General features: G+C 50.2%; 1 protein-coding gene across 2 annotated transcripts in view, besides 1 other annotated feature; it reads right to left on the bottom strand.

Moving 5' to 3' along the window:
* WNT7A (Wnt family member 7A) overlaps positions 1-580 on the bottom strand; it is a 63,814-nt gene extending 63,234 nt beyond the window's left edge. Inside the window, exon 1 of one of the 2 annotated variants that reach the window (NM_004625.4) lies at positions 255-580. In NM_004625.4, the coding sequence (NP_004616.2) occupies positions 255-325 (71 nt within the window). In that variant the 5' untranslated portion in view covers positions 326-580. Of the gene's footprint in view, positions 1-7; positions 71-254 lie in introns of those variants that run through there. The other variant, XM_047448863.1, reaches the window with a different exon arrangement.
* Positions 57-558: an enhancer, noted in NCBI's record as "H3K4me1 hESC enhancer chr3:13921045-13921546 (GRCh37/hg19 assembly coordinates)". NCBI's record gives its function as "activates a minimal SCP1, AML or CMV promoter by ChIP-STARR-seq in naive H9 embryonic stem cells {active_cell/tissue: H9 hESC(naive)}" and the evidence as "EXISTENCE:reporter gene assay evidence [ECO:0000049][PMID:30033119]".

A 14,980-nucleotide genomic window follows, 5' to 3' on the forward strand; every position in this document is an offset into this window, starting at 1 on the left:
TCCCTACCGGCTGTCTCTGGTCCTGGGGGATTCCAGACTCAGACGTCCTCAGGATGGCCAGTCCCCCTGCCTATATCTCCTGGGGTGTCCTGCGGGGGGCCTTTGTGCGTCCACCGCTCCCACACCGCACCCACCCGGCCTCTCAGAGAAGCTGTGGAAGTTGGCCGGCAGAGGCTCGCAGGCGGCACACCTCCCTCCCCGGGCCGTGCCAACTTTGTCGAAACACGCGCGGAAAGGGCGCAGGCAGCCCTTACCCGATCCGGAGGTAGACCATGCCCAGGCTGAGAAAGAGGTGGCCCAGGCAGCGCCGCGCTTTCCGGTTCATAGTCCCGATTGGCCGCCGGGGCCGCGGGCCGGGCTGTGCTGATCCCGCGGGCCGGCCCCGGCGGGGCAATCAACATAGCCCGCCCGGGAGGCGCGAGCCGAGGCGTCCCCGGGGCCGTCTGTCGGTGCGCCCGTCCGCGCGCTCCGCGCCTGAGCCTCGCCAGGAGCACGGGAGCCACGGAGCGGGAGGAGGGAGGGAGGAGCGAGCGCGGCGTGGGGCGACGCCGGGCTGCGCGCGAGCGACCGGTGCAAGTGTGCGAGACGCGGGGAGTGCGGGGGCGCTGCTGCCTCCAGCCCCCGCCCCTCCCTCCTTTCCCCCGTCCCTCCCCCGCCCCCTCCCCCGCCCGCCTCCCCGGAGCGCCCGCCCAGCGCCCCTGCGCCCGCGGGACAGGGCCGCCTGCACAAGGCGCGCGCTCGCGCCTTTCCATGCGCGCTCCCGGGGGCCCCCTCCCTGCTCCGGGGTGCAGGTGGCAGGCTGGGGAGCACAGCCCGGTTGGAGGCGGTAGGAGCCCGCTCGCCCCCCACCCGTCACTAACTTGCAGATTGCAGGGCGAGTGGGCGTCCAGAGGCTGCCCTCGGGTGGAGTGGACCAGACTCGGCCGAGAGGCCTAGTGCCTTGGTCTGCTGCCCTGCTCCCTCCAGCCCGGAACAGGGAGCTGGGGCTGACAGGGCACACCCCAGTTCCCCAACCCCAGCTTCAGGGGAGGGCGCCCCCTTTCGCGGAGCGACGGGCTGACTGGCTCAGTGTATTTCTTCCCTACTCCCACCTATTCGAGAGTGGCGGCAGGGGGTGCCCAGGTTGGGCAGCCTCCTCTGGGATCCTGCTGTTAGCCGACAGACTGAGTCGGGCTGAGGCCCAGTTGCCCCGCGCGGAACAGCAGTGGGGCGCCTGAGCCGCGGGAGCGTGAGGGGCGCAGCTGGCCGCTCAGAGCGCGCTCGCGGCGTCACCAGGCGGACGCGGCGGGTGGTGCACCTCGGCCTCGCTCCCGGGAACAGAATGCTTTGAGTGCCCTGGCCGACCCGAGGGGGCTAACACCCTTCTTTGGTGTACACCTCATCCAGTGAGCTAGGGGGAGTCTAACCGTCCCTGGAAATTGGGTGGTGCCAAGACTCCGAGCGGCAGTTTATGTTTTTGCCAGCGAATGTCCATCCTCCGGGTACCTGTTCCCTGTTTGCACGGACCGGTCCCGCCTGCCACCTGGGGGTTGCCCAGTCTCTAGGAGCGGCTGCGCCTGCGCCTCCGGAGAGTGTTCCTCTCGGGCTCCAGGGACTGAGCTCCCTGGGAGTGGCTGTGGTCCTGGCTTGGTGTTCCTGCTGGACCTGCTGTCCCTATGCCCAGGTCTGGCAAATCTGAACTCAGGTTTCAGCTGAAGACACTGAGGCTCAAGGAGGTGAAGGTGTTTGCCCAGAGTCACCAGCTAGCGAGTGGCACAACCATATGGGAAACAAAGTATGCCCAACTGTAGTAACCTCCTGCACCCAGTCCTGACTATCCTTCAAGATTGCCTTTCTAAATTACACACACACACACACACACACACACCCGAAAGCCACCATTCAGGTATTCATTCATATTCCATATTCTGTGCCAACCACGATAGTGGGCACCGTGGACACAAGGAAGAAGAAAGGCAACAGTCTTTCTTCTTGGGGCCAGGAAGGAGACAGATGATAAGTGAACAAGAACAGAGTTGCAGATAGTAGACCATTAAGCAGGGTGATGGGAGAGGGAATACTGGGTGTTGGAGGGTTAATTTTAGATCTGAGGAGGTGGCATTTGAGGTGAGGCCTGAAGGACACAGCATCAGGGGTCCAGCACTGCAGGAAGGGGACCAGCAGGTGCAAAAGCTCAGAGGTGGGCATGAGCCCCAGGGAGGAGATGGTGGGCTGCAATAGAGAGAGAGAGAAGGCCTGAGCTTGAAGGGAGATGGGGATACACAGATCCACAAAGCTGTGTGGGCACGTCAAGGAGCTTGGATTTCAGTGGTGTGTTCAGCTGGGGACATTGGAGGGATGAAGAAGGGGGTGACTGATCTGATTTGTGTGTTCAAAAGCTCCCCGTGGCTGTCCTAAGGGAACACACTGTGGGAATGGGGACAGGTGAGTAAAGTGCGCCATCAAGCAGACCAGAGAGGAGATGACAGTAGGGGTCCAGGTGAGACATTGGTAGTTTGGGTTAGGGTGGTGCTCTTAGAACATGACCACAAAATTATTTGACACTCCTCCCATGAAGAAGTGGGTTCTCTGTGCTCTGCCTGCGTGAATCTGGGTGGGCTTGTGATGGCTTCCACCAATAAGATGTAGCAGAAGTGATGCTCAAAAATTACAAGTCTTCGCGATAAAAGACAATGCAGTCTTTGTTTTGTTGGCTGGCGCACCAGTGCTGGGGCCCTGAGCCACCATGGAAGAGGCCTAGAGGCCACCATGCTGTGAGGAAGCCCAGGCATAGGCAGAGGCCACCTGTGCTTGCTCCAGCCCACAGTCCCAGGTGAGTTCAGCACTGGAGTCACCTTGCCCAGGTGCCAGAAATGTGGGTGAAGGTACCTCCACCATTATGTCATGCTGGCTTTGTGTCTGCCAAGCTAAAGCATGGTGGACAGTGGCCGTGTAGTATCCCCAGTGTACCCTGCCCAACTTCCTGAGCCCTATAACTTGTGAATATAATGATTATTTTGCCACTAAGTTTGGAGGGGATGCTTGTTACACAGCAGTTGTAACTAGGACAATAAGGGTAGAAGTGGGGTGCAGAGAGGAGAAAAGGACCCAGGATACGGGGCCTGTGTCTTGCACAGACAGGACTTGAAAGGATTCGGTGGGGGTGGGTAGAGAAAGAGAAAGAGGAATGATAGGTGACCCCGATGTTGGCTGGAGTATTTGGGTGAATGGAGGTGGCTTGTAATGATCTGGAGATGGTTGGAGGAGCTAAGAGTTTGGTAAAGGAAATCACAAGGTCTGTCCTGACCATGTTCTTCCCTCCTGCATTGTTCCTCCTCCTCTTCCTCCTCTTCCACCCTCAGATGAAGTCAGCACAAGCCCTGAGCAGTCTACCTCCAAAGAATCTCCAAATATGACCTTTATTTTCTGCATTCACCATCATTCCTAGACCAAAGTTTCACTCATGTCATGAATGCTGGGGTGTACTTGTGACCGGATGTCAGGCCAGGTGCTAGGCACATACCAATAGCCCATGCAGGTGCTGGGTACATCGGAAGATGAGAGAGGAGGAGGAGGAAGAAGAGGAGGAACACAGCAGGGAAGAATATGGCCAAGACAGATCAGTATATCAAATAAATCCAGTCTCTGCCCCTCCTGGAGCAACCCATCTGAGGACCGATTTCATGATCAAACACATAGGTAGCACTATTACATGCCAGGCACTGTCATTTACAGCCTCAGCATATCAACTCACTGAATCCCCTGAAAATGCCAAGGGGTAGGTACTCCACTTGTTGATATCATTATCACAGCCATCATTATTTGATAGAATGAGGAAAGTGAATCAGGGAGGGATTAAATAAAGTATCAAATTCCCACAGCCAGTCCATGGCTGAGCTGAGCTTCGAACCTAGAAAATACTGACTTCAGCATCTGCTCTTAACCCACCCCCCAGCCCCATTAGGCTGCCCATCTAATGGAGGAGGGGGAAGGACTTGGGACACTCCAATAGGAAAAAAGGTGTTAGGCACCAAGATGTGTGGTGCACAGTGGGCTGTTGGAACACAGAGGAGCTCCTCAGCCAGTCTCAGAGGATCAGGGAAGGCTTCCTAGAGGAAGTGTTCCTAAAATGGGATCCTAAAAGAGTGAGTTGGTATTAAGCAAGTGAGTTTTTGAAACCAGAGGAAACAGGGCCACGGAGGTTCAAGGTGCCTGGATATTGGGGCGTTAGAGGGAAGGAGATATGCAGGGAAGAGGCTCAATGGGGAGTCTAGGGACACAGGGCATATTAAGGGGGGTAGCAGTGTTACATGATCAGGTTTTTGTTTCAGAAGGTTCATGGTGGCTGTCATGGGAGCCAACAGAGGAGGGAGCAAGAGAGGAGGGCAAGTCAGGAGGTCTCAACAGTTACCTGTGGGAGAGAAGGCTTACCCTGGACAGATGGTGGGGAGAGAAGGGGGTGGATTTGAGACCGAGTTTGAAGGCAGGGTAGACAGGATAAGGAAGGCCTCCAGGACAGTGTCCTGTCCTGTGAGAGTGTGGCTGGTGAGAAAAATACAGACTGGGGACCCTGGGAGCAGGAGGTCTCAGGGAGTGAAACTTGGTTTTGGACATGCTGAGTCTGAAGTGTCTGTAGGTCACTGAAGGGTGACTGGTGCTCGGGGAGAGGCTTGGGGCTGTCACTTCTAGGTTGGATATCCCCAGCTAGAAGTGGGCAGACATTCAAATCAAGGCAAGGAGAGGACACCCTGGGAGACCAAGAAGGATGAGTGGGGAAGGCCCAGTGCAGAGCCCCAGGAATTCAGCATGATTTAAAGAACCAGCTGGGGAAATGGAGGGACTAAAGGTGACAAAGACAAGCCTGAGAGGCAGGGAGTTCATCAGACAGTGAGAGAAGGAAAAGGAATTTGTAGTGTTTGGCTTCACAGGGAAGGAAGGAGAGGCAGAACTAAAAAGGGTTCCATCTTACCAGCCTAACATCCAGAGATCTTTATGGTCTAGCTCAAAATTACCTTTACAGCCTCCACTTTCCCCAAACACTTGTGCACATATCACAACAAATTAGTGGGTTGCCACTAGCATTTACAAAAAGAAATAGATCAGAAAATAACAGAGGGCATTATGCATAAGGTTCCAACTGTGTGTGTGCGTGTGTGTGTGTGTGTGTGTGTGTGTGTGTGTGTGTATTGGATGTGTATGTGTATACATTTTGGGTTAGGATTTTTTAAAAAGTTGAGAGACTACTACTGCAGCCTGTTTTCCTTTGCATATGTCTAGAATGCCTTTAGCTCTTTTCTACCTGGTAAACTTCTAACTTATCCTCCAAATCCCACCCAAATGTCAACTCATCTGAAAAGCCTTCCTTGATCTACATTACTCCTATCCTAGGCACTTGGTGTCTTCCTCATTCATTCAGTCATCAAACATTCGTTGAGGATTAAACTGTGCTGGGCCCTGGGCTGGGTTCACTGCTGGGGTACAGCAGTAAACACAATAGATATGATCTTCAAAGGGACCACCTTTTAATGCATCTCTTCCTCTGTGCTCTCACCCTTCTTGTGCTGATCTTGGCAGAGCCCTTCCCACCCCAAATGTTGTATGGCCTCACTCCCCTCCCTCCTCCATCAGGACATAATCTCCTTGTGGGAAAAACGCTGTATCCTTCATCTCTGTCTCCAGCACCCAGGACAGGGCTTTCATCAACATGAGGACCATGGTTTGGTAAAAAGAGTTCAGACTTTTGGGTCAGATAGGTCTGAGTTTGAATCCCAACTCTGAGACCTACTAGCTTCGTGATCCAGAACGGTTTATTTTTAACTTGTTTGGATTTCTGTGGGCCTAATAATGTTCAGGTAATTTAATCCTTCACCTGACTGGGAGCTCCTCCAAGGATTCATTCCAAAACCTGGAACCTAGTGTGAATAACGGTTTCATGACTGTTTCAATGGGACCCATTGCAGAAAGTTCTTCTTTGGCAGAGTCATGCTAGCCCAGAATTTTTCTCCCCATTTAGCTCCCTCTGCCTGGATTAAGAAGTGAGAAGGATACCTCTTCAGCAGGTACTGTTCCTCTTTAAGCCAAATCAACCATACCTGGGGCAGGTGCACAGTCAGCCAGGTGCTTTGTCGCCCCCTGCTGGATACAGAAGGAGATCAGCTTAGATCTCGGCCACAGCAATAATCTCTAAGGGATATGGAGTCCTGCTGTATACCAGACACTGCTGTCAGTGAGGGCTCTAGAGGTGTCCACATCCTGGCTCCACCGTTTATTATCTTTGTGACCTTGGAAAAGTTACTTAAATCCCTCGTTGCCTCAGTTTATCTGTAAACTGGGCACAGTAATGGTTTCTACCTCCTTGGGTAGTTTTGAGGTTTGAGATACTACAAGTAAAGTGCTTAGCACATTGCCAGGAACATAGCCAGTGCCGTGTACACGCTTGTAAATTAAATTAAGAGAGAGGCCACCGCCACCATTGGTGCTGCCACGGATCAAGAAAGGGTGTTTGTGTTTAAGGTGGTCTCTAACGGCGGGTCCCCCAGGGTGAGATTATAGAGACTTTCCACCTGTGTTTGGTCCCTCCGTTTTCTTCATTGATGCTTAGAAGAAAACTTCAGCAGCATAAACCATAGCCAAAGCTTTCAGTAAGTGTTTGGAGCTGCTGGGAGCCCTGTACTGGGAGCATTTTTTTTTTCTTTTCTTTTGAGACAGAGAGTCTCGCTCTGTCGCCCAGGCTGGAGTGCAGTGGCTCGATCTCGGCTCACTGCAAGCTCCTCCTGGGTTCACGCCATTCTCCTGCCTCAGCCTCCCGAGTAGCTGGGACTACAGGTGCCCGCCACCATGCCCAGCTAATTTTTTGTATTTTTAGTAGAGACGGGCTTTCACCATGTTAGCCAGGATGGTCTCCATCTCCTGACCTTGTGATCCGCCCATCTCGGCCTCCCAAAGTGCTGGGATTACAGGCGTGAGCCACTGCACCCAGCGGGAGCATCATTTTTGTTGAATGAATTGATGAAGGAAAGAAATACTCTCATGTGGGAAAGTTCTCAGAAGAAAATGAAATTCAGAGCTGTGACACAGAACAGCTCCGTGGGGAACCTCAGGTAGTGTGACCAGAGAAGGCTCTGAAGAGCTGAGAACTGAACAAGCTTCATTTTGCCTCCTCCAGAAGCCATCCCTGGCCAACTCCTCCAAAAGGATATTGACCTCCACAGCCTCTGTGCTAGCCCCTGTTCAAGCAGCCACCATAAACACCACAAACACCACAGCCTCATCTGTGTGTTTGTTTGCTCCCCATCCCCTGACATGGGCACCTCCAGAGGGCACCCAGAGCTGCACACCCAGTGATGATCACCAGACCCCGGGTAATCAGCCCGTGGAGAGCAGAGGAGCTGGAAAGAAGGAGAGGTGGGAAGGAGGTGGCAGAAGCCATTAGGGTGTCAATTGTAAAGGCCTGTAGCCTTCATCCTGTAGATGGGAAGGCACCCACATTGTCAGAGCAGGGCTGTTATCCAGTCCCATGTGGGTTTTCACCAGTGAGATCAGCCTCTATTATTTTGTGGCTATCCAGCATTCAACTCCTGTGACTGGCACCATGGTGTCTGCTTGGGGAGCCCCCCTCTGTGCGCCAGGCTGGTAGGAGGTTGTGCTGCCTCCGATGGAATCTCTTCTTCCTCCTTCTGCCTTGGAGCTGTTGGCCCCCAGGTCCTCTCTCCCAGGATTAGAGCAGGCAGGGCAAAAAGCTGGGGTCTGAAGACTACATTCCTACAGCTGGGGAGCAGCAGGAACACAGAGACCATCCATCTGCTCAAATAAGGAAACAGCCTCTCTCTTTGCACTGTGATAGCATGCACAATTTACTGAGGACCTAGTATGTGCCAGGCTGTCTGATGGATGCCTTATATTTCTTTGCTGCTGGCAGCACTTTTCCCAGATGGCTGTATGGTTCACCCATTACTTCATTCAAGCAGAATATCACCTCCCACATCGCTGCCCCATGGGGGTGACCCCTGAGTACCCTGCGCTTTCATGGCACTGTCTAGACCACCTCTTACTCTGGCTTTATTTATATGCCTAGAATGTATCAGCACCCCCCAACTTTACATTGTGTATTTGTTGACTTTTGTTTGTCTATCTTCCTCATTGCACTGTCTGCCCCACAAGTAGGAATATTTGTTACTTAACAGCTGCATTTCATAGAATGATGCCTGGAACATGGGCGGCCCTTGATGAATAATTGTTAGACACATGAATAATTGGATGATTCTCATGCACTCCTCATAAAAACCTCATTTTCCGGAAGAGAAAATTGAGATGTTGAGGGGTTAAGTTGCTTACCCAGCATCTAGCTGAGCGTCTAGCTGAGTGTCTGGCACTTATGTTAACACATGTCTCCATTCCCTTTTTGTCTTCTCCCACATCTCCTCACTCCTGCTAATAATAGGCTCCTTTGCACTGATTTCGCCTACATAGATTTCATCTCCATCCCAGCATTCCTAATACCCACTGCTATGCACGAGGTAGGCCTCACCCAGGCCAGTGATTCAGTGTTATCAAGGGGGCAGGAGTTGGGGGCAGAATGGGTAGGACCAGAGCATCCTGACTGGGAGGAGCTGGAACATGGGCCTTGGGGCTGGAAAATTGATGTCTCCCTCCCCCTGCTGCCAAAGTCCTATTGACTCCCTTGCTGAACCATCAATCTGTTTGTGAATCTGGGGGCCAAGATTGTGGAAGAGGCTGCAAAGAGACAATCCATCCTACAGGTGGGGAGACTGAGCCCCATTGCAGGCCCGAGAGGCTCCAAAGGCACATAGCCAGCTAGGGGCAGAGTTGGATATGAAATACTGCTAGGGCACTGGGGCAACACACCCAGCTTTGAGTCTCGGCTCAGCCTCTTGCTGTGTGACCTTAGGAAAATGGTGAACCTCCCTTAGCCTATTTCCGTATCTGTATGGAGATGATGATAATAATAATGCCATCTCATAGGTTACAGCAATCATATATATAACACATTCACATTTCACAGAGCAACTGGCACATAGCATGCACTCAACACATGATAGTTATTTGATGATGATGATTATGGCGATAAAGATGTGTATTGGAATCCAGCCCTCTAGGATCAGAGGAATCTTAAAGATGATCAGGGCCACTGTTTCTCAAACTACTATGTGCATCCAAATTACTTAGGTATGAAACAGATGCCCAGGTCCCCCTCAAGACCTCCCAAGTTGGACTTCCTGGCAGAGGTGGAGGGAAGTCTATCCCATCTCCACTGAGTAGTGGCCAACTGTGCTCAAACCTCTCTCAGGGAGAGCGGCTCACTCATCCCAGGGGAGCCCCTTGCATTTGGATACAATGGTGACTGGGACACTTCTTCCTCATACCAGTGAGAAATCAGCTGATAGAGGTTAGAGGGATCAGAGAAGGGAACAGTGGGTCCCCACTGTTCTGTGGCCCTTGATTTCTCCAGCTCAGAAATGGAGTAAGGCATGCCAGCTCTAAGTCTCTGTCTCTTCAAAAGGGATCTATGGACTCCCAGGTTTCCAGAGAGGAATGCTCAGGGCTCCAAGAATGAGAATTTCAAATGGTCTTTTTTTTTTTTTCATTTTAACATGAATCTAACATCCTCATATTTCAAACTATTAGGATGACCTCATTATAACTGATAACTGTCCTCTAATTAACTTTGCTGTTTGAGTTTGCATTTTTGCTTATGGTCATAAGGTTCCCAGGAAAACCACTTTTGTGATTTGGAGCCCAGGAGAAGAAAGCAGTAATTCACTGAAGCCCCTGCCCTGTGTGAAGAAAGGGTTAGGAGGAGGTGGGCTAGAGGAAAGGGGTTGGGAGGTTTGATTCATCTCATGACAGAGGGTGATAGATGGTGCCAAATTTAATGGGCCCTACATGGTGACAATTGACACCATGATCAGGCTACAAGCTGCCACTTGGCTTCAGCAAAGTAACATTCTCTGGCATATGTCAATTATCATTCATTTAAAAGTTAGATTTTCTGGTGTTTATGTTAGTTTATATTTCATCTGGAACTTGCAGATTTTAATAGCATAAGAGCCTACGCTTAGTTTTATGATAGTACATATCTAAGCAATGGTGTACTAAAAATTAGTTAAACCACCATTGAGTGTGTTTATTGGCCAGGGGGAGTAGTGTACAAGTTTCCCCTTTCAAGGAGCCCACATATCCCTCCAGCTTGAGAAACAAATCCCTGTTGATTTTGAAGGACCTCTGCATTCTCATGGTTTGTGAGCCCATGGATGGATCATCAGGTGGATGGGATTGTTTTAATTGAATTTGAGGTAAAGACCATTGTGAGGCCATTTTATACCAAATACCACCCGGTGAATATGTGTGTGTGTGTGTGTGTGTGTGTGTGTGTGTGTGTGTGTGTGTGTGTGTGTACTTTATGTTCTGCTGGCACCAGAATCCCCTGCAGGAGGGCTTGTTAATGCTCAGAGGGATGCCCACTGCCCAGGTTCACATTCAGTCCATCTGGGACTGAATGAAATGCACCCCAAAATGTGCATTTCTAACAAGTTCCCAGGTGATGCTGATGGCCACCCTTAGAGATCCAGAAGATCATCATCTGTGGGCTGGGAGGCAGGACTCAGGTCCACTGGCCTCTGTCCAGCCTGCTCTGGAATCCTGGGTAAGCCCCTTGTTCTGGGTGAGCCTCTGGACTCCCTACTTCCCATTCCTGCAATAAGAAGCTGGGACAAGTCTAGTGCCTCATCCAGGAGCAAGCATAAGCTCTGACACCTGGTTTGCCATTCGGAGTCTAAAGCCTGGTGTCTTATCAGTGAAGTTTCATGTCCACCCAGGAAGCCCCTGGAGCAGGAGGGCAGTGGCAGTCTTAGCTCCCTGCTTTGGGGAGACAAGCTGCGGAAACAGAAAGGCACACTCCCACTCCAAATCCCATCTCTGGCCCTGTGACCTTGTGCAAGTGACTGGTCTCCAGGGCTTCCCCTCATGTTGTAGGGTCACTGAGAAGTCCCTTCTGGAAAGCACCTGGATCTGGTGGGCCCTCTCAGACTCATCTGTGCGCTCCCAGCCACACTTTGCCTCACCGGCCGCTGGCCATCTGCCCGTGGGCTCCTGGTCACCTCGGGAGGAGAGCACTTATCACCATTCCACCCCCAAGGTCTTCCTCAGGATAATCTCCGGCCCGGGTGATTCATCTCATGGGCTGGGCCCTTCCTCTCGGGCCTGAAATATCTCCCTCCCCTCACCATTCCTGGGTCATGCCTGTGCCCCCAGCCATGTGACTTCCTCTGGGGACTGGCCCTGGGCCCCTGCCCTCCTGCCACCCCTCCACTCTCTAGCTAGCGACCCATTCTGGGCCTGCCATATCAGGCAGGGCTCAGCTGGGAGGGAGGAAGCCCACAGCTTGTTGTGCTGGGGAAAAAGTGCATCCCCACGTCCGGCCCCCACCCTGGCCCAGCCACACCTCTGCCTTTAGTGGGCTGGGCTTCCGGCACACATCCTGGCATGTCCTGGCCTGTTTATCACTTAGTTGCCACCTGGCGCTCTGCCCCTCATGCACACACATTCCCTGGGAGGCTTCTGGGGCTGGAGCAGAGTGGTTGGCCAGTATATCCCCCAGCTTTAGGGAGGCTGCCTTTCTCTGGAGCTAAGGATGGCTTTTTGGAGAAGACAGATCTGATCATATATCCCAGTTTCACTGTGGAATTACTGTGTGACTTTAGGCAAGTGAGTCTGCATCTCTGGGTCTTAGTTTCTCTGATTTTTAAATAGAAAGATAAATACCTTCATCTCCAGTTGTTGTGTGGATTAAATAAGATAATTACAAACAGACTGATGCTTGAACCCTACCTCCAACCACTTAAATCAGAATCTCTGTGGAGCATATAAAAAGCTTTCAGGGAGGTTCTAAGACACAGCCATGGATGGAACCCACTAGTATGGAATAGTTAATGGCTGAAGCTCTGGACTAGACCAACATGGATTTGAATTCTGGATCTGTTACATAATTATGGAGCCTTGATAGATTATTAGCCTCTCAGAGCTTCTGTTTACTTGTGTGTAGGATGGGGATAATAGTAATTACTTCCTAGTACTGTTATGAACATTAAATGAAGTAATAGATACTAGGTACTTTGCACACAGTGACTATTCCCTAAGTAAGTCAGGTGAGGAGAGGACAAGCCCTTCGTTCACCAGTTTACACAAGGCAGCTGGCTCTGTGCCTGGTCCCTCGATGGTACTTCAAATGAATATCTGTAAATGACTAAGTGTAGCTGTTTTCATTATTGTAGACTAAAAAGTAGTGAAAAATCTCAATTATCCTGAAGATAAACTTTTTCTGTCTTGTGACTGACTTTAGAAACTACATCTCCCAGCATCCTTTGCAGCTAGGGGCAGCCATGACTTTGTTCTGTTGAAAGAGATGTAGGTGGAAGCCCCTGGGCTTTCAGTTCCTTGAGTTTCCCCTTCCTCTGGCAGCCATCTTGAGAAGGACGGCCAAATGGAAAACAAGAAGGGACACGATGGCATGGTTGAGCTGCCATAGCAGCCCCGCAGCCTGCCTCTGGGCTTTTTTTTTTTAAGTGACAGAAAAATCTATTATTGTTTAGGCCTCTGGGTTGGGGGATTTTTGTTTCTAGTGGAAGAAAAACAGATGCATTGGGCCTCCTCATTGTCCTACTTTCTGTTCTTAGTCCTCCGTGTCCAAAAAAATCTAGAACCAGTCACCTGAATCACTAATTCCTTCTTTAGATCTCTAGGGCTGGGTTAGAGGCACTACAGGAAACCTGTCCAACCCTTAATCTGACCCCTTGAGGCAGAGTTAGCCCCGAGTCCTGTCCAGGCTCCTCTGGCAGCCCCAGAAAGTTCAAGAAGAGAGAGTGACTCCCTCCTTCCCTAGATGCCAATACCCAAGTCCAAAATCTCACAGCTGCCATGGGTCTCCTGAGCTCTCCCTCTGGAGAGGCAAATATTTGTCAGAATCTTGGCTCTGCACTGATTTGCCATGGGCAATGTGACTTTGAACAAGCCTTAATGTTCCTATCCATAAGGTGGGTCTATGGCAATCAAGAGATAAATCTAAATAAGAAATTCAGAAAGGGACACAGTGGCTCTTGCCTGTAATCCCAACACTTTGGAAGGCCGAGGAGGGCAGATCACTTGAGGCCAGGAGTTCAAGACCAGCCTGGCCAACATGGTGAAACCCCATCTCTACAAAAAAAAAAAAATTAACCGGGTGTGGTGGTGCATGCCTGTAATCCCAGTTACTCAAGAGGCTGTGGCATGAGAATCGCTTGAACCCAGGAGGCAGAGGTTGCAGTGAGCTGAGATCATGCCACTGGCACTCTGGCCTGGGTGACAGACCCAGACTCTGTCTCAAAAAAAAAAAAAAAAAAAAGAAACTAGGAAAGGGAAAAGTCAATGTATGACTAGAGGTGAGCAATGCTAACAAACCAACCCAGAACTACGATTAAATATTCAAGGGAAGGGAGGTGGCAGAATATTACAAGGTCTGTGAATATTACAGACCTTGGCATTATAAAATCAATAGCACTGCTGGGTGCGGCAGTGGCTTATGCCTGTAATCCCAGCACTTTGGAAGGGTGAGGCAGGCGGATCACTTGAGGTCACGAGTTCAATACCAGCCTGACCAACATGGTGAAACCCTATCTCTACTGAAAACACATACAAAAATTAGCTGGGCATTGTGGTGGGCTCCTATAATCCCAGCTACTCGGGAGGCTAAGGCAGAAGAATCGCTTGAACCTGGGAGGCGGAGGTTGCAGTGAGTCGAGATTGTGCCACTGCACTCCAGCCTGGGAGACAGCAAGACTCTGTCTCCAAAAAATAATAAATAAATAAATAAATAAATAAATAGAATCAATAGCCCAACGGCAGTATGTTAGGTGTGAGCATGATAGAAAGTGTGAAGGACTTAATTTTCTCATTCTTCATAACAGGGAAAAATAAATGCTAGGATTTAAACATGTAATTTAGCGGGGAGATGGCCCCTAATCTCTTAATGTTCTCCACAAACCTGGAGTGATCTTGTAAAAAATACTCATTTTGCTAACAAATCGAATATGTAAAGTTAACAACTGCTTTTATTTCACTCAAATTTCCTTTCCTTTGGTTAAATTCATATGGAAATATGCTTCATGTATTTTATTGTTTAAATTGACATATACAGTATAATCTCATTTTAATAAAATTCCTTTCCTTCCTTCCTTGCACACTGCCTCTCTTCTTTCCTTCCTGTTACCCATCCTCCCTCTCTTACGTCTCCCATCCTTTCTTCCACTCCCACTCCACCTTCCAAATATATACCTAGACAAACATCTGGAATGATGTTGCCTAATATTAATTCTAGGTTTGGGGAACTAGGGTTTGTAATGATTGCCCTCCTCTCTCCATTTTGGCAACATTTTGCTATATAGCTTGAATGGTTTATAAAAGCACTTATCATTTTAATAAAGACAATATAATACTTTTTTCCAAAAAATTATTCGTATCAATTTTATGGGGTTCTCTTGAGCACTGAATGACATGACCAGGAAAGCACCTGGCACACTGTGGCAAGCACAAGTCCAAGATGGCCCCGAGATTTCTTTCCAGTGATGTACATGCCCTGTACATGCTGGTCCTTCTACCTGGAATGTTCTTTCCTTCTCCCTTTAGCAAATTTCTACTCATCCTTCAGGACCTAGTTCAACGTGAAGAAGTTCCTGACACCTACACCCAGCCAATCAGACCCTCTCTCTGGAGACTTAACGGGGACAGCAGAAAGGGTTAGCGTGCATTCACATAGCAGCAGTGTCCAAGGGTAACTGTTTAGAGGTCTTTGGCACCAAGACTACCTGGCACAGCCCAACTCTTGCTTTATTGAACCTTGTCTTCAGGCTTCCTGTATTCCACCACCTTCCCGGTATCCTTCCAACAAATTGTTTTTATTTAAAGTGGCTAAGTCAGTTTCTGCAGCTTGCAAGTTAAGTACCCAACTGTT

Source organism: Homo sapiens, chromosome 3 (assembly GCF_000001405.40).
Source record: "Homo sapiens chromosome 3, GRCh38.p14 Primary Assembly".
Lineage (NCBI taxonomy): Eukaryota > Metazoa > Chordata > Mammalia > Primates > Hominidae > Homo > Homo sapiens.